A 21,149-nucleotide genomic window follows, 5' to 3' on the forward strand; every position below is an offset into this window, starting at 1 on the left:
AGCCACTTAAGTTAGTGATATCTCAGTGTTTTTATCTAGCTTCCTTTTTAGGCAGAAAATACACATTTAGAAAGAAGATGTATATAAATCTGTGATAATTCAAATCTCACTGGTACATGTTTCTTAAACTTGTTTGACCCTTAAGTTCTGTCTTAAATTTATTTTGAGTCTTGGGGAAGTTCTATGCCTTATTTCTCTTAAATGCTATACTCCTCTCTACAGCATAATAATTAGTCTAAAGCTATAAGATATACTATATCTTAATTTAAAAAATCAGGCCTAGCACCTTTCTGCAAAACATCTCAAGGGTTTTGTGCAGATTTTTTTTCTGCCGTGAAGATGAGAAATTCATGATTTCCAGTTTAACACTATTTCTTAACAGCAAAGCTTTTCACACCGATCATTACTGTTTTATGCAGTTGCTGTTCATTTATATTTATTCACAAGTAGGAAAACATTCCTCAGTGGAAGGTCTGAGATGCAAAGTGCTAGTTAACAAAAACATTGAGCAAAGAAATCAGAAAGTAGATGGGAAAATGCCCCCAGGATGTCCCAGAACTGATGGAAGATATCAACCCTCAGATTGAGAAAGTCCGGTGAATCTCAAACAGGCCAAATAAAAAGAAATTGACACCTAGACATATCGTAAGGAAACTGTACAACACCAGAGATTAACAGTAACCAAAGTTGACACAGTATGTTTAAAGGAATAGCAGATTGACACAGACCTCTTTGAAAATCTAATGAGAGCCATAGACTTCACCCTAGAAAAATATATATGCATAAAAAGTTTAAATATAGTTTGGAGAGTAACGCACCTTCCCCTAAAGCAATTCCTAAACCTCATTTAAGGATCTATATTCTATAGTTCAGTTCTGCATTTTTAATGTCTTCTATATTGTCTCATGCTAGAATAGTCATTATATCTTCATATGTAATATTTAAAGTGTGAATTATCATCTAACACTTCCTGTCTTCCTGTCCCCCAAATCTATACTTCTCCCATGTTCTTTATTTTCATTAATGGCTTTACCCTCCTTCTAATGACCCTAGCCATGAAACCCAGGCATCCTATTTTTGACCTCTTGCTATTGCTTCCCATATCTAATCAATTGCCAGTTCATTTTGCTTGTGTGTCGTCTCTCATGTTCATCTCCTCACCCTTGCCCCAGCCTGTTTCAAGCCTCTAAGTATCTTATTCTTTGCTAGATTAATCTCAATAAAACAGAGCTTGATCCCTGTCACTTCCTTGGTACAACAGCCTTTATGCCTCTTTACAGGACAGACCATGCAGGAAAACTGCATATGACATTGTTCTCTCTGAGAAGCCTCAGTGCCCACCACACTCACAGCCTGCTGTGGACCATGTGCCCCAGATACCCAAGCCATAGGTAGTGGGACCAGGGATAGGTACTCCTGGGAATTATTCTTAATTTGGAGGAAGTGTAACTATGTTTAAACATTTTTTTTCAGCTGGGCGCAATGGCTCACGTCTATAATCCCAGCACTCTAGGAGTCCGAGGCAGGGGGATCACTAGCTGGGAGGCTGAGGCAGGAGAATCGCTTGAACGGAGAGGTGGAGGTTGCAGTAAGCCAAGAACGCACCATTGCACTCCAGCCTGGGCGACAAGAGTGAAACTCCGTCTCAAAAAAAAAAAAAAAAAAAAAAAAGAAAAAGAAAAAAAAGAGGTGGAGACCATCCTGGCCAACATGGTGAAACCCTGCCTCTACTAAAAATGCAAAGATTAGCTGGGTTTGGTGGCATGCGCTTCTAGTCCCAGCTGCTTGGGAGGCTGAGGCAGGAGAATTGCTTGAACCTGGGAGATGGAGGTTGCAGTGAGCTTAGATTGCACCACTGCACTCCAGCCTGGTGACAGAGTGAGACTCCATCTCAAAAAAAATGAGTAAATAAAAAATAAAAAAAATTTATTCAACACCTCTTAGTGTTTTGTTGCAGGAGGACTCTAGGTTATCCAGTTAGCCATATTGCTAGATGTCTTTCTGTATTGTGTCTTGATGATTCCAGTTTTCTACAAGGATTGACTGGGATTGCAGATGTGCTCTGAATGACATACTAGAGATATTCTAGCTGTGTAGCTGTTGAAATGCTTTCCTGTTTGTCTTCACTTCTTGTGGTTTTATATTAAACTTCTATCCTTTGTGATGACTTATCTGAGCTACTAGCATCTCTAAACAGGACTGGTAACTGGTCTCCCTGCATCTCCTTTTTCCCCACTTCAGTCTAGTTGCCACATTACAGACAGAGTAGTCTTCTGAAAACACAAATCTGATCTATCATTCTCTTGCTTAAAAACAGAGTTTATTACTTTTCCTTGTAATAAACAGAGTTTATTACTTTTCCTCGTAAATGATCACTCATCAGCTTTATCCAACTCAATGCTTTTCCTGCATCTCTCAGGCATATTTCTTTTTTTTCTACCTATATCTCTTCCATCTTCAAGTTCTAGCATTTATTTCTTTGTACTATCTTGAAGTCTGAACTCTAAGTCTCTAATTCCTCCTATCCTGTTGTTTCAGTGACTTTCCCCTTCAATCCTTTATGTCAGACACTTGATGGAAGTAGAAACCAATGTATAAAAAAGGTAGCTTAAGGTTATAAAACAGATGGTCATCAACACTGTGAGACCATTATTCCAATATCTTCCAAGTATGAGGACCTTTTATTAATGTCAAAACCTTTTATATGGGCATAGGAGAAGCGCTTGACTACAAAGAGGCAGGACAAGGCAATTTTTTTAGAATGGTGGAATTATTCTCTGTTGTCACGGTGAATATACAACTCTACATATTTGTCAAAACCCATAGAACTGTATATCACAAAGAGTAAATTTTACTATGGGTAAAAAATAAATTTCAAAAGCATTTCATAGATCCCTAGGGATAGAAGTAATACTTTTAGCATTTCATATTAATAAATGAATTCAAAATGCCTTTTAAATATACTTGTATTTTTTAATCACAACAGTATAAGTATATATTTGAAAGACAAATACATATATACATGTATATATGCACATATTGTATATGTGCTGTAAGTATATGTGCATACATACACACCTAACACGTGTGTATAAAAGATATATGTAGCTATGTGTGTGTATATATACATATGTATACATATGCATTGTCTTAGCTTGTCCTGCCATAGCAAAATACCATAGACTGGATGGCTTAAATGGTAGAAGTTTATTTCTCACAATGTGGTTGCTAAAACATTCCAGATCAAGGTGCTAATAAATTTGGTGTCTGGTGATGACCCTTTTCCTAGCTTGCAAATGGCCACCTTCTTGCTGTATCCTCACACAGTAGAGTGGAAGCCCTCATATCTCTTCTTTTTCTTGTAAAAGTACTTATTCCATCATGGGGACTCTACCCTCATGACCTTATCTAAACCAAATTACCTTCCAAAGGCCCCACCTCCTAATACTATTGCATTGGGGGTTAGGGCTTCAACATGTGGATTTTGGGGGCATAAATATTCGGTTCATAACATACACATATATGTATATGTGTGTATATATCACACACATACACACACACAGAGCATTTATTCAGTCTTCAAATAATGCTTGGTGTGTGATCATTTAGTAAACTTGTTCTAGCAACCCTAAACCCCCATGATGCCATGAGGCCAACAGATTGGGAACATTTGTTATAAAGGATATATAATGGATGATCATTTTTGCAAGAATTCTGTTGTTCATATTTATTGATATTTGCCTAAATAAGAACACACTTTTAACTTTTTTCTTGCTCTCGATAGCTAACATAATTCTGATGTTAGGAAGCAGTTTTTACCCCTATTACTGCAGAATGAGAGATTCATGAAGACCTCTCCTACTCTGATGCCTCCCCACCCAACACAAACACCTAGGTTTCCTAATTTATTTCATGATGGGGACAGAAGAATTCCAGAAGGAGCAAGGCTCTAGGGTATTAAAACCAGCACTTCAGAGCTTTCCTCTTGTGTTAGGACCATGACCTCATTAAGCTCATGTTGTTCACAGCACTGGTCCTTCCAGGGCCCCTAGCTCTCAGATTTTCCATGATTTTCTCATATCAGTATGTTTCCATCTAGACAATGATCAATGATTGGTTTGTTATATTAATAAAGCATCATTTACTTAGTTTTCAGGGCAGAATATCAATGTGGATGGGGGGTATGTCAGGTGGATTTTAAAAATAAAGTTGTTCTACTTCATCTTTGCTGTAGAAGGTATGTTATGTCCACAGCATGGTTTTAAAAGGTAATTATTTAGTATCTAAAGTAATGGTATGGTTCTTGATTACAAGTTTGGTGTAAGTAGGCAGTGACTAAGGCTCTTAAATGTGTAAAATTCATATATGAAGTGGAGCTCTGTACACTGTTGTTGGAGGAACGGTCTAACATCAATGTTTTCAGATTTTCCTGTGTGAAGTTTTATTAAAGAGCATATAATTTGATCCTGGTATGTCTGATTTTGAGTCCTGTAATAGAGGGATTAATGATCATATTGGAGTTTTTCTAGACTTGTTAAAATTCAGACACGCTGTCTTTCATTAGCAACACTAATGACTTAATGAATGGGGAAGCCTTTAGTTTAAAACAAAACAAATGATGGGTTAACATAATATTGCAAATAGGACCATAACAGGGAATGAACCTCCTGTCTGTGAACATTCTCTTTTATAGACAGCTTCAACAAAATAGAGGTCATTTTTGAAAAAGCCTGAAATCTACCTTGGCAAATTTCAGCTGAGCCAAACCATTAATTTGAAGAAGTTATATGTATCAGTGGAAAATGTACTTTACTGACAACCTTTTTTTCCCTGCATGCAAAGAATTTTCCCTCCCACTTTTTAATCCCTCCTCTCCCTACTCCACCCTAATCTTTAAAAAGTATGATGTCAGATTGGGTTTCTTTGTGCCAAGTTTTTATCCTGGAACAGATTTTTATAGCCATGTTTCTCTGAGAAAAGGAGTTTATGACCAAATGGTGATAACACTTCCATGTTTTCATTTCCTCCTCTGACCTAGTACTTTTTTCCTAACTTTAACTTTGTCAGAGTTTAGCACAACCAATTTAATGTGTTTTAAAGCTAAAGGAAATTATTTTGAGAGCTTTTAAGGATTCATTAACTATAATATCATCATATATTATTCCTTGAAAAAAACAGATTATGGAGCATGATATTTTAAAATTTTAGATTTTTGTGTTCATTCAATATGAAAACCCTTCAGAATATTTGTGTGTAGATAGATATTTTGGTGATTGGTCTTTGTTATTTCCACCCTGGTAGAGTTGTTCACCAGAGATTGTTCATTTACTTTTTTCAAACTCTTTCTTAAAAGTGTAGATTAACTTGGCCCTGTAATTTAATGTTAAGGGTGAAAATGGTGGAAACAACTGAAATGATCATCAGTAGGGAAACAACCTAATTGTCCACTGACAGATTATTGGATAAAGAAATATATATATATATATAAAACAATGGACTAGTATTCAGCCTTCATAAAGGCAACGTGGATGAACCTGGAAGACATTATGCTAAGTGAAATAAGCCAAGCATAGAAAGAAAAATACTGCCTGATCTCACTTATATGTGGAATCTAAACAAAATGTCAAATACACAGAAACAGAGAGTACAACAGTGGTTACCAGGGGTGGGGAAGAGGTAGGAAAATAGGGAGAAGTAGGTCAAAGAATACAAACTTGCAGTTTGTGTAGGATGAATAAATCTAGAGATCAGATATACAGCATGAGGACTATAATTAATAATGTTATATTGTATACTGAAAATTTGCTAAGAGAGTAGATTTTATGTGCTTTTAACACACACACAAGTAACTATGGAAAGTGATGAACATATTATTTGTTTTACTATAGTAATCATTTTACTATGTGTATGTATATCAAAAACATCATGTTGTATACCTTAAATATATACAATTGAAAAAATGAAAAAACCTAAACATCAAAACCATATTAACTATTTCTATAGGAAAATATATGTATGTGGATACTGATGCTGGATACTACTAGTGGCTAATACCAATGAACACTCATGCCACATGTGTTAAGCGCTCTATACCTGTTAGCTCATTCAGTTCTCACAACAACCCTATGAGGTTCGTTGCCACTGTTGCCCCCATTTTATGGTGACAAAACAGAGAAAGGATCAGAAACTTACCTGAGTTCTGAAGTTCATTCAGAAATAGAACTTCATCTCTACCCTCAACAGCCTCTTTACCTTCTATCCTGACCCACCTGCCCCTCCCATCATGATAAAGTCTTTAGTGAAATGCAAAGGCACACACTGGTTAAGACCACTGCTTTGCGGTAACATTTGGGTTTGAGCCCTGGTTGCCGCTTTGTAGTCGTGTGAACTACTGGACGTTACATAATTTCTGTATAACTCAGTTTCTTTGTCTAGAACCCTCATAGAATCTTTGCCAGGATTAGATGAGAGAATGTGTTTAAGTGTTTAGCATAGTGCCAGGCACATTGTAAATACCTGATGTATTATAAGTTGCTGTTCTTGCTGTTACTGTCATCATCATCAACATCAACATCTTCTTCTGAATCCTTCTTTCAAAATGTTCAGGGACCCCAATTTTTGAAATTCCCTCTAGATACTGTGCACAGGGACCTTAGGTAATACCAGTCACCTGAATTCATTTAGGATAAACTAGTGAGGAAAATGTAGAAGCAGACATCTGAAGTGAGGGACTAAATATTTCTCTCAGGGGTCAGCTCTAGACTTTGCTTGAGTCACAACCCCACTTCAAACTTGAGAATCTCATGATAGCTGTAACCATCCACAACTCCCTCTACCCCCAGATAATCTTGCATATTCTTCAGAACATGCATGGACTTGCTTGTATATAAGCCCAAATGCTTTAGGGATCCACTGACTCTGAATTAAGGCTCCTTCTCTAAAGTTTTTATTGAGATAGCAGTGAGATGTCCACCGGCCATGGCAGTGATACGCTGGCCAGGGACAAGAATCACAGACAAGAGCAATCCAGAAGCCACGACACTGAAGACACTGTGCTGAACCTGTTACAAACACTATTTTATTCAGTGTGCACAATAGACCTTTGGGTCTGAAGACACATGGAGATATTAAGGCACACAGATGTTAAGTAACTGTCAGAGGTCAACAATGAGTATGTGGCAATAACAGGATTCAAACCCAGATCTGTTAGCTTCCAAAGTCCTTGGTCTTACATGCTACCCACTAGTTCCTTGGAGGGGGCTCCGGACCATGGAGGTCACACACCAGTGCTCCGAGTGTGGTCCTCACAGCACCTGCATCAACATGAGGTTGGGATTTGATTAAAAGTGGATTTCTGGGGCCACCCACATTCTGAATCTAAAGTTCTGGGTGTGGTTTTAGGAACCTGTGCTTTTAACAAGTACCCTTAGTGATTTATATACTTACTAAACACTTGAGAATCACTGATCTTTCCAGTGTGGTGTGACTTATAGACAGTGTTGGACAGAAATGAAACAAAGGAGAAAGATGAAGCACAGACAGAAAGAGCTGGGAGGATGCCCTGCATGTTCTTATATCTGTAAATACGCATCTCTTCTCCTTTGTCTCAGCCCTTGCTGTTTAAATCTAGACCCTTACATTTTTCAGCTATTTGGCTCCAGCCTCCCCTTGCCTGACTCCTGGCTTTGTATATTACCTCTCTTTCCTGACTTTCACTGCCTTTTACAAGTTGCGTTTTCTGCTCATTTTTAGAGATACCTACTAAGGGCCAAAGGAAAATACACTGTAGCAGAAACCTAAAATTAATTGTCACCCTGGGTTTAAGGCATTCTGTCATTCTTTCCCTTTCCTTCACTACTTTTTGCCTCAGCCTATTCTTTTATTTATTTGTTAGTAGTTTTATTGAGCTATAATTCCTGTACAGCTCACCCATTTAAAGTGTACAGTTCAGTGGTTTTCAGTATATTTGCAGAGTTGTGCAGCCATCACCACAATCAATTTTAGAACACTTTCCTCACCCCAGAAAAGATATCCCACACCCTTTGCAGTTACTCCCAGTTTTCCCCAACCCTCCAGCCTTTGACAATTATTAATTTACTTTCTGTCTCTATGGATTTGCCTGTTCTGGACATTTTATGTAAGTGGAATCATACAATATGTGGTCTTTTGTGACTGACTTCTTTTTTTTAGCATAATGTTTTCAAGGTTCATCCATGTTTTAGCATGTATCAATACTTCATTCATTTTCATTGTGGAATAATACTCCAGTATATCAATATACCACATTTGATTTATCCATTCATTAGGTAGTAGACATTTGGATTGTTACCACTTTTTGCCTATTGTGAATAATGTTGCTGTGAATATTCATGTTAATAAGTTTTTGTGTAAACACATATTTTCAAATCCCTTAGGAGAAATGCCAATTCAGACCTTTTGCCCATTTTTAAGTTGCTTTATTTTTCTTGTTATTGAGTTGTAAGAGTTCTTTATATATTCTGGACACTAGACTTTTATTAGATACATAATTTGCAAATATTTTCTCCCATTCTGTGTGTTGTCTTTTCATTTTCTTGATGATATTCTTTGAAGTCAGCAGACTATTCTTAAGCTCACTTGTTGAAGTTCCTCTTGGCTAGAATTCTTGTCTACTTCCTACCCTCATCATATTTTAAAGTTTTTCCATGTGCATATTAGCATTTCCTACATTAGATCATTTATGTCCCCGATAGCAGATCCAAATTGCCATTTCATAGTCTCATTGCATTTAAAAATACAAATTATCAGCCTAAAATAATTGGCACAGGATTCATATCCAAAATAAAGAACTCTTTAAAATTAAGAAAATGGCAAAAAATCTGATAGACAGTGAGCAAAAAACCATGAACATGAATCACAGACAAGGAAACATGAGTGGTGAATAAAATATGAAAGGATGTACCATCAGTGGGGCCACTGTAGAATGTTGAGTGGCTGCAACTATTGAGTGACTCTGGATGTTGCCCAGTCTCTTGGATCTTGAGGCTGAACTGGGCTTTTGGTCAGAACTGGAGGCCTAGGGGATTTTCAGCCCCCTAGCAAATCCATTCTGATCCTGACTTGGATTTTAATCTCTAGAACTCTCATGTATAAAATTTTCAGCCATTTCTAGGAATTTTAAGAAAAGCTAATATGGGACTTTTCAGTTCAGTTCAGATTTAAAAGTGTTCAGGACCCCCGAAGGGAGTACTGAAACTAAGGAAGTTTTCTGAATAACCTAAACCTGAAATTGGACTAGGAGCAGAAGAGAGTAGGGTCTGGAGGATCTGCCCATCGCAGACCTAAAATTCCGTAGTCTTTTTGGAGATCTGAAATGAGTGATTTTTGCACTTAATGACTTCCCTCTACATAATCACTAACTACTGGCATGTAAGACAGAAAATCTAAGTTAGTTGCAGAGTGAAAAGCAGGCCTACGTAGTCCCTGACCTTGGGCCACAGGATTCTGAACTCGAAGGTTACAGTAGGTGCCATGACAGGTTTACTCTCCCAAGCCCAAGAATGGAGCCTCTGTTCACACTGTGCTGTCCTGTCTTAGAAAGTCAAGTTGCTTCCTTCTTCATTTTGACAAATCATTCTTAATGTTCTTTTACATCATTTGCTTAAGTTCACATCTTTGTGATAGAACTCTCATTAAACAGATTAAGAACTTTTAAAAACATTATTTAGATTTTTTTTCCTCCCCTTAATTTTTTGTTTTAAAGAAGAAAGGACAAGTAGCAAGAAATACATTAAAAAGTTATAATTTTTCCCTTTAGGAAAATCTTTTTTTTTTTTTGGAGACGGAGTCTCACTCTGTCCCCCAGGCTGGAATGCAGTGGCACGATCTTGGCTCACTGCAAGCTCTGCCTCCCAGGTTCATGCCATTCTCCTGCCTCAGCCTCCCGAGTAGCTGGGACTACAGGCGCCCGCCACCACGCCCGGCTAATTTTTTGTATTTTTAATAGAGACGGGGTTTCACTGTGTTAGCCAGGATGGTCTCGATCTCCTGACCTCGTGATCCACCCGTCTCGGCCTCCCAAAGTGCTGGGATAACAGGCGTGAGCCACTGCGCCCGGCCTCCCTTTAGGAAATTATTTTAGTAATAGGACACATGTCTCAACGTGGATGTTGTACTCATTTTGTTTTGTGATATGGTCCAGTGCATTCTTGGACATCTGGCATCCATGGTCCTTGCCTGCTGGATGAATGACCCCTTAGTGATTGAGACCACTTAATATACCTCCCTACATTTCATACACCCCCTAATGGGATATTATCACTCCAACTGAAAAGGAAGGTAATACCTTCTTTTCCTTTGAGTTCCAAATTGTAGACTGAACACCTTGTTCAAGGTTGAGAATCTTATTTCAGTTCTTAGAAGAGATTTCTAGGAATGCCAGAAATACTTTACTCTTATTCTGTGGTTGTCAGGTCCATTACTTTCAGATCAAGATCTCATCTCTTGGAATACTGTGTACCGCAGAAACAGTATCGCATTGCTCAGTCTGGCACACTTTAGGTTTGGCTCTCCCACTCCCTGGCCCCTTCCCTGATGTGATGCCCTTTGAATGGGCTCCTCAGAGGCATGTGCTTTGGTGCCACAATAAGGTAACCAGGACTGTTTATTAAGCTTATGCATTTTTTCAAGTGCAGGCAGCCCCCCACTAATAAGTTGCATTCCAAATTGTATGTGTAGGTTGGTTATTTGGACTCTGGAACGTGTTTTGCCATGGAAACCATTTAGTACATAGTTGGGTTACCAAGGAAACTGGATGTACTGAAGGAGTCCATCAAGCCATAGTGCCTGCTACATGCAGAACCACATTTTGGGGGACAGAACCCAATCCTTTTTCTTTCTTTTTTTGTAGCTGTCAGTTGGGCAGCTCGCCTTGTTGGAGGATGGGCCAGGAGCTAGCAGTGATCTAGCTGCAGCAGATTGGACCTGCTCAGTTCACCCAGTACAAGTCCATATACCAGGAGGGCCCAAAAGTCAAGTCAGATCTCTCTGTAACAGACATGCAGGGCAAACAAGAGCTGTACTGTCACTCACTTCTGGATCGTTACCTGGAACAGCACTAAGCAACTTTTCCTCCTTGCTTATGAAACCCAGTCCACATCCCAGAGCCAGGAGAGCTGGAGCCAGAGTGAGCACAGTGCACACAAAGTGCTTGCCTTTGTTCCTCGTGTTCTCAAATATCCTTGCAATAAATGATCATCTCTCCAAGTAGTCTGTGTGGACCCAGTATCACGCAGGAAAAGCCGACCAGCTCAAACTGGGTGTGGGGCTTGTCCACAAAAGCTTATGGCCCCATGATCTAGGTTCCTTATTAATAGCAATGCATTTTCCTGTTATAGAATATGTCACTCATCACAGTAAAGAGAGAATGCTAAGCCCATTGTACTATTCCAAAGACAAGGAATGGAAATGGTAACAGCATTATTACTGTAGTGTTTTTATTGTATTTTAAAAAAATTAAGCCGAGTATAACTTAAATGTTTCTTGTGCCTGTTTATAACCAGTGCTGCCCTGTTCCCTTGGTATAATGGATGGTAGTCTACACACTGAGTACTGGGTACGAAGACTCAGCTCCTTGGTGTTACTTCCTTGGAACCTTCACCTGGTGTCCTAATCAGAGTGATGGCCTTCATTCCCCCGTCTTGTTGTCACCCTTTGGGGCTTCCTTAGTTTAGTCCTTTGTTTCCTATCTTTGTATATTTGCACAATCACAGTAGTTTAACTTTACATTTATATTGTGCTTTCTACTTTACAAGGCACATTCTCTTTGCAAGCTAGATAGGGCCGGCATTGTCATCTCTGTTTTCCAGAGTTAAAATGAATACTCAGGCATTTTAAAGGACTTGCCAAACTTTCACATCCACTGGCAGCAGATCTGGAGGTAGAACACAGGGTTTCCAGGGCCCGGTTTTCCTGCGCTCTTTCCACCGTATCACTCCACACGCCTGTACAGTTGCCACTTCCTTTAGCTCTGCTTATTTCTTGATGGGTGGTTGTTAGCTGTCTTGGGATTTTACTCAGTGCTGAACATCTCTAGTAGGGTAGTAGCCTTCCTTCTCTGGCTGCTTTAGTCAGTGTCCCTGGCACTTTGGCCCTAGCATGTACCTCTCGCTTCAGCAAATTGGCATCTTGGGACAAGCTCCTGCCATAGTGTATTTATTAGTGAATTGGTACCTTTGCATATTTTATACATTGAATTAATGCCTCCAGGTATTCATCTTGATGGTTAAAATCATATTTTGTTTTACATAGTATCTTTTCATCAGAAGTATATATTATCTTCCATTATATAGGGGAGACTAACTGGTTAAATTACTTGTCTCGAATCTTAACCATAACAGCAGAAGAGAGAAGGAAACTAATTTCTATGAGGAGCTCATGCAAACCAGACACTGTACTAGGTGCTTTGCATATAGAATCTCATTTCATCCTTGCAAAAACCTTGTGGAGTAGGCGATGTTTTACATTTTACAAGTGAAGACACTCTAGTTCAGACAAGCTAAGTCTGTCTGTAGTTCAGACAAGCTACCCTGCAAGTGAAAAGTAGAGGGAATATTACAATCTAGCCTTCTCTGATTCCAAGTCTCATGTTCTATCTGCTGTCCCACATGGCTTCCTCTTGCCCTTTGCAGGGTATCTTACAGTAATAAAGAAAAGAATGCCTTGGATACATGGCAATACAGAGGGGAGGGGGAAAAAGCTGGAGTACTGCCATCTCCTTTTCCTGACAACAGCCAGAAAAGAGAGAACTCACTCCCTTGTCTTTCCTCTAAAGATCATGGAACTGTTGACACATGTTCTGATAGAAGTTTGAACTTGTAACTAAGTGGAACTAAGGTAAACTAAATGGGGCAATCTGTAAGTATTTTAGTGGCTCTTGAAGGAGGACCAGTTCGTAGACATCACCCTCTCCTGAGCAGTTAGAAAGCTGCTTGGAAAGAGCTGTGCTTCTCTCTTGGAAAGACCGTGAGACTAGGGAAGAGCGCCAGCCAGTGAAGTCAGGACTTCTGTGTTCTGGCGCTGGTTTCTACCTCTCACTCTAGCCAGGTGACCCGAGGCTGGTAAGTCACTTCACTTCTCTGGATTCCTCCACTTGTAAAACATGAGAAGTGAACTGGATGGTCCTCCCAGCAACTGCAGTTTCATTCTTTATCTTTAAAGAAATGTATTTTTTAAAAAAAACAATGTGAGAATGATGAAAAGCTTCTCGCTACTCAATGTCCTTGCCAATGATAGTTTGATAGGGAACCTAAAGTTAATAGCTCCCACAGCTCTGACTCTTTAAGGAAATTAAGAGGCCAGAAGGCAGCGTTCTAATCAGATTTGTGGGTAAGATGGTTATCGATAGTAGTTAATGATGGATGAAGTGCACTGAGGCTCTTAAAAGATACTTAGGATTTTTGACTTTACTCTGTAGGTTCTAAAGTAAACATATATGAGGTTTTTAATTTCTCAGATACTATACCTGCAGCTCTTTTTGCTGACTCAAGATGATTTTTGGTACCTGTTTTATGCCTACATGCTCCAGCCAGACCAGCTCCTCTTGAGGCATTGAATACCTAGGAAAAAAGAACAAAGGAGGCTGGATGTGGTGGCTTATGCTTGTAATCCCAGCACTTTGGGAGGCCAAGGCAGGTGGATCACCCGAGGTCAGGAGTTCGAGAGCAGCCTGACCAACATGCAACCCCATCTCTACTAAAAATACAAAAAATTAGCCAGGTGTGGTGGCAAGCACCTGTAATCCCAGCTGTCCAGAAGACTGAGGCAGAAGAATCGCTTGAAACCCACCAGGAGGCAGAAGTTGCAGTGAGCCGAGATCGCGCCATTGCACTCCAGCCTTGGCGACAAGAGCAAAACTCCATCTCAAAAAAAAGAAAAGAAAAGAAAAGAAAAAAGCATCCCTTCCCTCTCTACAGTGAAGTTTTTCTACAGTAATTCTTCAATAGTGAGTTAAAACTAATTACTAATACAAGCATGAGAATAACAATAAATTAGAGCAAGATAGTTGGAAATGCTTTGATAACATTTGGTCCCTTTCTTAAAATTAAAACTTTTAGCATTTGCTACCTATCTACCTCTGGATTTCCCTAAATAGAAAATTCAATTCAAATCTTTTCTTGGAGAGAAGAGTTTCCAGGTCTTTCTTGAGATATCCAACCCCTTTTGGTAGTCTTCACACACAGATTTTCCCCCACTGTTCGTGGGCACTGACACCTCACCAGAGAGTGGGCAGGTTTGCATGGGGTGACAACTGGATTATTTACATGGCACTGTGAATAAGTGATAAGCCTAGTTCTGCAGGGGGCTGTTTTTATTTCAAAGGATGATTTAAATCTACCATGTTAGAATATGTAAGAATAAACTCAGGTGGAGATGCTTTCCTGAGGCCTTTAAGCTATAACATTCTGTCTATAGCACCCCTTTTCTATCCCCCAAAGAGCCACATCTGAAATTTAGCAATCCATTTCTTCAAGATTTCAAACTTGCCTTAAACAATTGAGAATGAAGAGCCATGTGCCTCTAAGAGCTTTGACCACAGCCCCTCTGCCCTGGGCCTCCCAGAATTTCCACACCAGATCAACAGGGCTGTGGAGTTTTCAGGGCCACTGCTATCCTCTGGCAGCTTCTCAGCTCTTGCTGGTGGCCTCAGTACCAGCTTTGATTTCTCTCTAGGTCAACCCTTTCCCAGGGAAGAGTTCCCTCAACTTCAAGGGATCTTTCTCCTCCTCCAAGTCTAACCTCCGCCTTTTTTGGGTTTGGCGCAGGGAGGGGAAATTGCAGGAGCTGATAACGGGAAGGAGGAGCTGGGAGTCTTCCTCGGTTTTACTGTGAAGGTGTCTTGGGTAAGTGGCTGGGGAGACAGGAATGGGCACAGGGGATGAACTGGAGAGAGCTCAGGATGAATGACACTGCTCACCCATTCTGAAATCATGCTACTCCACCAACAGAAATACTGGTATTTTGGTTATAAAAATAGTACAATACCTGAATACCAAAGCCAATGTTGTAGTCACTGGGAAATTTCTCCTGCTGAGTTAAGGAAGGGAAGACTTCACAGAAGAGGTGTGATTTGAGCTGAGTCTTAAAGGATGGTCATCGGCTACTAGGCATTGAGCCCTAAGTACAGATCCAGTTCATTTCGCTGGTGATTATACCAGGAGTTTTATAGGAAGTTTATATGCTTTTTCTTGCCAGTGGTTCAGTCTTTAATTTAGTTGGGGGCTGGGGTTGGGTAGATAGTTCTTCTGTTGTTCTGCAAAGCCATCCTCTTCATTTAGCTATATCTCTTGTATCCCTATTTGTCTTTGTAATAAAACCCTGTGGTAATCACTTGAGCAGTTTTATGTGTTATTCTTAGTGAGTAACACTTTGATACATTAACACCTCATAGCATTTCACTTGGAGTTGTTTTTTTTCTCCCCCATGACTTTAGCATTTAAGAATGCAAAGACGTATTAGGATTTCAGATCCTGTTCCTTGGATGTTCCTCCTTACAGAAGCTTATTCATAAATGGCTTATTTTTGCTTATGTATTTTACTTAATAGGCCTTAAATTGGTCCACTGTTTGCCACATCTGTTTTCTAAGCTGCTAGTTGGTGTATTTGAAAATACAAAATGTATAACAACCACTTTTGCTATCTAAAGTCTTTTCTTCTGCCTTACTTTGTTCATATACATATAGATTTCTTGACATTGCATTTTTGAAACATTTTCTCAATTCAACTTGTCTTTGGTCAAAACTTTGGAACTAGTAGTCCAAATCTTAGCCTCTTAAGTTGCTGCTTTATAGAAACTGTGGTAAAAATTAATACATTACACTTGGTATTGCTGTCTTTGAGACCTCTAAATTTTTGTTGAATGTGTTGAATCAGAATTTTGCTATTTTATTAGCAGGCTTCCTGGAACCCCAAAGCAGTGCTTCTCAAGAATGTTGTCAGTGGACCACCTGCATCAGCCTTGGGAACTTGTTAACAGTGTAGACTCCTTGAACCCATGCCAGACCTACCAAATCAGAATTTTAGGGGCTCAGAAATCTGCATTTTCACCAGCTTCATAGGTAGTTGAACACACACTAAACTTTAGGAATATCTGTCTTGAAGTTGGTTAAGTACTGATTTATTTAGGAGTTACTACCTAATTTTCTCCGGGACATGCACGATTGAGTTTTTGGTTTTTCTGTGGTCTATCTTGATTTGAATTCTGTAAAGAATACCCTTAGGGGAAAGAGTAGGGTCATATTTTTCTTAGTATTCAGCAGAGTTGCACAGAAAGTTGGACTCCAGCAATATTATCAAAGCCCAAGTCACTGTGCCTGCTTCTGCCTATTGTGTGTGGCTCTTTGGAGTTACACAAGGACAATAGACTGACATGTGATGCTTGGAAATCACCTTCCTGGGTCGTAGATCACTACTGAGTACATTAGACATTAGCATATAGCTCACCTAAGCTCTGGAGCCTTATAATAATAGTAATTAACATAATGATACTTTGTACTTCTCAAGTGTCTTAAAACTGAAGGCCTTAAAGTGCCATATTAAACAAAATAGGCAACACCTTGGCAAGAGAGGTCAGTTTTAAGTTCCTCATTTTATGAATTCAAAACCTGAAGCTGAATATGGAAGTTTAGCTTAGAGACTTCTTTTGGATAATGACACATTCAACTTGGAGAAACACGAATATTTCAAAGGAAACATTTCTGATTTTAGGGGAACAGGGGAGTGGTGGTGGTAAGGTGGTTGCTATTTTGGCATTGCAGGGTATATCCTGAGTGAAAACAGCCACATTTGGTTACTTTAATTAATGCCTTTAATAAGTAGAGGTGTTAGGCTGGAAAGCATTATTTTTCTTACATTTCTGTGTATGAAATCTTATATTCCTTCTGGTGCCTTCATTTGCCTTTCCTTTCCTTGCCCTTCTTTATGTATTTTTTTAAATCATTCATAGACTCAGAGAATGTTCAAAACAGCAGCAACAACAGCAAACTTCTAGCTAGAAGAGTCGTTAAAAATCATATAATCAGGTCCTTTTGTTTCACAGGACAAGATACTTGAGAATAGAAAAGGTTAAATAAAAGATTTCTTCAAAATGGCTCAGAAAATGTGGCTATGGGAGATATGTCAACAGTGTAACTATTAACAGAGTTTGTATATTTGTGTTCTTTTTGTCTTTTCTTAAGTAAACAAGTATATGAATACACTTTATAGTTGAGAATCAGTCTTTCACAGACCCTGTTTTGTATCTCCGTGCTATTCCTACCTTTTAAATTTTATTCCATTTGCTTTATCTGTATTCTTCCTGTATCTCTCTTCTCTCTCTTTTGCTTCTGTAAACTAATACCTTTGCAACCTAAGTAACTTAACATTACAGAAAAATAAAATTGAAGTTTTAAAAAATCTTGAAGGTCGGCACCTCAGAAAAGGCAGGCTAAATTAAAAGATAAAGAAAAAAGTACTTGGAGACTTCTGGAATATTTGAGTTCTTTTTAAAAACTACCTCAACAGCTGTAGAAGTAGATAGTTCTTTATTATCACAATCTTTACCCTCCGTTTGCTCAGCTGCAAGTATATGTTTAACTAGCACAACTCAAATGGATGATTTATGGTGGCTTTTGCCTTACAAATAAAATGAAGAACAGTTAGTTCTTAAGGTACCAGGTTAAGAATTTGGAGAGAAAAGGATAGGGAATTTATTCATTTATTCATAAATAATTGATCGATAGAGAGGGGTCATCTCCTTATGGAGTACACCGTATTTTAATGCAAGCAGATGAGAATCCTGATGACTTATACAATACTGTTCTTCATCTTCATACTAAGGTGACTGAGCTAAAAGTGCTGAGGTAATAAATGTAAAAGTGCTTAGGAAAAATGGAAAAGCCTTGTGTTAATGATTTCTTATTCAAAACAGCTCAGTTCTATAACTATTTATTGGGAATCTAAAAACAAATATTTGTGTGCTGAGGGCCAGGTGCTGGAGATAATGAGCTATAAAGAGAAAAGGAGAGACAGTGAGAAAAAACAGCATTTTCTTTCCTTCTGGGAAGAAAAGTAGAAGGATGGAAACCCTGTACCACACAGTTCCCCATACCAACCACCAGATGGGGTTATCAGCCACAGGCAGCTCAGTTGCTGGTCCAGAGGGCTTCCTTTTGGATTCTAGGAGGTGGAAATTAGTAGGAAGTGTGAAATTAGTTGTTGCATACACGGATAATTCATAACATGAGGTACTTACATTTTAGGAAAAATATTTACCTCTATTCACTAGATCACCTCCTCTGTGTGAGAAGAAAAGTAGAGTAATTTGATTAGATTTGTTAATAAAATTATGGTAGTTATTAGTAATGCTTCTTTTTCCAATACTTGCAAATTTATTTTTGGGGTAAGAACAGGTATATTTTTCCGATTTTGTTTGCCCAGAGTTAAGAGAGTTAGTGTGGGAAGGTTATTTTGTTTTTCTGTGCTTGTAATTTTGTCTTCCTAGTTAATTTCTACTCCTCCCACAAGATTTGTCGCAAATGTCACCTCCTCTCTGAAGCATTTCTTAGCACCCTTCTACCAGACAGTTATGAATGCCCCTTTTTGTATTTCTACATGGCTGTCTGTGCTCAATAATAATTGTTATGATATGAATTTAAATTAATTGTCTGCCTTTCTCTGCTACTAATTGGGAGATTCTTGAGACCATGTATTATTTATATATTATTTATATTTCTATACCCACTGCTGACTACAAAGCTTGGCAGGTATTAGTCACAGAATAAGCAAGTTATAAATATTTGTAAATTACAGTTTTTCATAGTCTATTTAAAGAATACTAAGTTATTAATAGTTCCTGAGCAGTTGTCCCCAGCATTATAAATAAGCTATCAGGAGTTATCCTACAAAATAATTAATTTTAGAAGACTTTTAGAAAGGAATATTTACCTTAAGAGAGAAAGGATTATAGAATTAATTGCAAAGAGCATAAAAGGCTTATCTTATTTTACAGTAGGGTCTACTCTCAATGAAGCAGACATATGGAATTTTAAGGCTTATTTGGAATTCTGATTTTGTGACTTATTTACATTTTTAATTGGTTGAATTGAAAAAAAATTGCCTTTTTCCTTAAATGAATATACGTAGTCTAGGGACATCTTTGAGGAGAAGGCCAAGTTTGATTCTGTATTACAAATTTTTAAATGGAACTTAATGGGAAAATATGATTCACCATTCAATTTAATTGATAGAAATCTCTTTCACAGCCAACTTTTCTTTAAAGTGAATTACATATTTCTCTTTAGAAAACAAATGTATTGGTCTATAATTTTTAGACTTCTGTGAGAATGAAAATAGGATGCTCTTTTATTTACAGAAAACTGTAAGACTTTTTTCCTTATGAAAATAATTTCCCAGTTATTTACCTGTGTGTGGAAAATTTCTGTGTCTCTAATCTTGACTGGGAAAGCTTTTCCTGGGCAATTTAGAAAACTAAAGAAAAGTATCATTATCTTCAACAAACATTTATCAAGTGCCTACTATATGAAGGTCAGATTACCAGTCCTGGAAAAACCTCAGTTATCCAAAGGTGAGACTCCTAGCAACACCCTGGAAAAGGACCTTGATCCCTAAACTTAAAGAAAGGAAGTCTGAAGAGCCAAACACCCCATTTTTAAAATGCAGTCAGCCATTTTGTTTTATACTGCCTTGGCAAACTTAGTTAGCTTATTTTTACACTCCTAGCATATATGAGACAACAGATTCAAGGTAGACAGGCTGCTATGGATAAACAAGCTTTGATAGCAGCAAAAATAGACAGCTACAACAAAGTCAAATACAAAATACATTAACTGATAATCCTCAATGATGGCTACATATCATCAATCAAGTTTGGACCCAAATGTATTAACCCTGTTCAGCAAATTATTATTACTTTTTTGAGATGGAGTCTCTCTCTGTCACCAGGCTGGAGTGGAGTGCAATGGCGCGATCTCGGCTCACTGCAACCTCCAACTCCTTGGTTCAAGCTATTCTTTTGCCTCAGCCTCCTGAGTAGCTGGGATTACAGGCATGCGCCACCATGCCCAGCTAATTTTTATATTTTTAGTAGAGAGGGGTTTCACCATGTTGGCCAGGATGGTCTCAACCTCCTGACCTCGTGATCTGCCAGCCTCGGCCTCCCAAAGTCCTGGGATTACAGGCATGAGCTACCGTGCCCAGCCAACAAATTATTTAAGGACCTGATCTGTGGGGTCAGGCAGGCCTGGGTTCTAATCTCTGATATCCCACCTACTAATGATATAATCATGAGTAGTTATCCAAGCATGCAAGCTGAGCTTTTCTTCTATGTGTCAGAAATAACATGAAAACTATTTAAAAAACTGGAATGATATTGATCACAAATATAATAAAAAGTTAACAGCATTTCTATTTAAATTGATCAGAAGACTTAAAATCTCAATAGGTAAAAGAGCAATGTTGTTCAGTTTACAGAAGAAGAAATGAAACAACTAATGAACATAGAACAATGTTCACCCTCACCTAATAATAAAAAAACTCAAAAATAAAAACAACAAAATGTTTATATCAGGTTTAAATCAGCAAGATAGTAAAACTGTACCAATAAACTCTAAATGAAGAGGGCTACATAGGGAGAAAAGACAGATCCAAAGGGAAAACAAAAATGACCACTTGAATAACTACATCAACACAAGAAAGTTAAAAAGTACTGAAATACACACTGTTGTAGTAATAAGGTAGCTCCTCAGTTTATGCCTCATGGCGGCCCTAAAACTACCAGCAGCAAAAGTGGTTTCAGAGTGGGACTATCTGCCACCATGCTAAATCTCAGTACCAGTATGAGCTCCTTGGAATGTTCATCTGTTAGGATTGGCAATATCCATGCTTGAATTTGTATTCTCCATTTCTTGGACCATTCTGCTGTTTGTCTCTTTCATTGTTTGGAAGTCAAATTCCTTCTTTCAGCATTATAATAAGGCTATGTAATATAGCTTGAGACTTCTACTACACTTGTTAATCTTACTTATCTAATGCAGCTTTTGCCTGCATTATTGTTAATTATTGCGTGATTTACACTTTGAATTTTTACACAGGAATTGTGGGAGGTTTTCTAAATT

General features: G+C 38.4%; 1 protein-coding gene and 1 long non-coding RNA gene across 15 annotated transcripts in view; one reads left to right on the forward strand and one right to left on the reverse strand.

Annotated features, from left to right (window-relative positions):
- Nucleotides 1-21,149, forward strand: part of BABAM2 (BRISC and BRCA1 A complex member 2) — a 450,193-nt gene that overhangs the window by 248,966 nt on the left and 180,078 nt on the right. The window lies entirely within an intron of this gene.
- Nucleotides 10,881-21,149, reverse strand: part of LOC100505736 (uncharacterized) — a 58,407-nt gene continuing 48,138 nt past the window's right edge. The window contains exons 2-3 of the long non-coding RNA NR_120504.1: nt 13,502-13,595; nt 10,881-12,566 (exon numbers count right to left, since the gene is read on the reverse strand). This is a non-coding gene — a long non-coding RNA (uncharacterized LOC100505736). The remainder of the gene's footprint in view (nt 12,567-13,501; nt 13,596-21,149) is intronic.

Source organism: Homo sapiens, chromosome 2 (genome assembly GCF_000001405.40).
Source record: "Homo sapiens chromosome 2, GRCh38.p14 Primary Assembly".
NCBI classification, from domain to species: domain Eukaryota; kingdom Metazoa; phylum Chordata; class Mammalia; order Primates; family Hominidae; genus Homo; species Homo sapiens.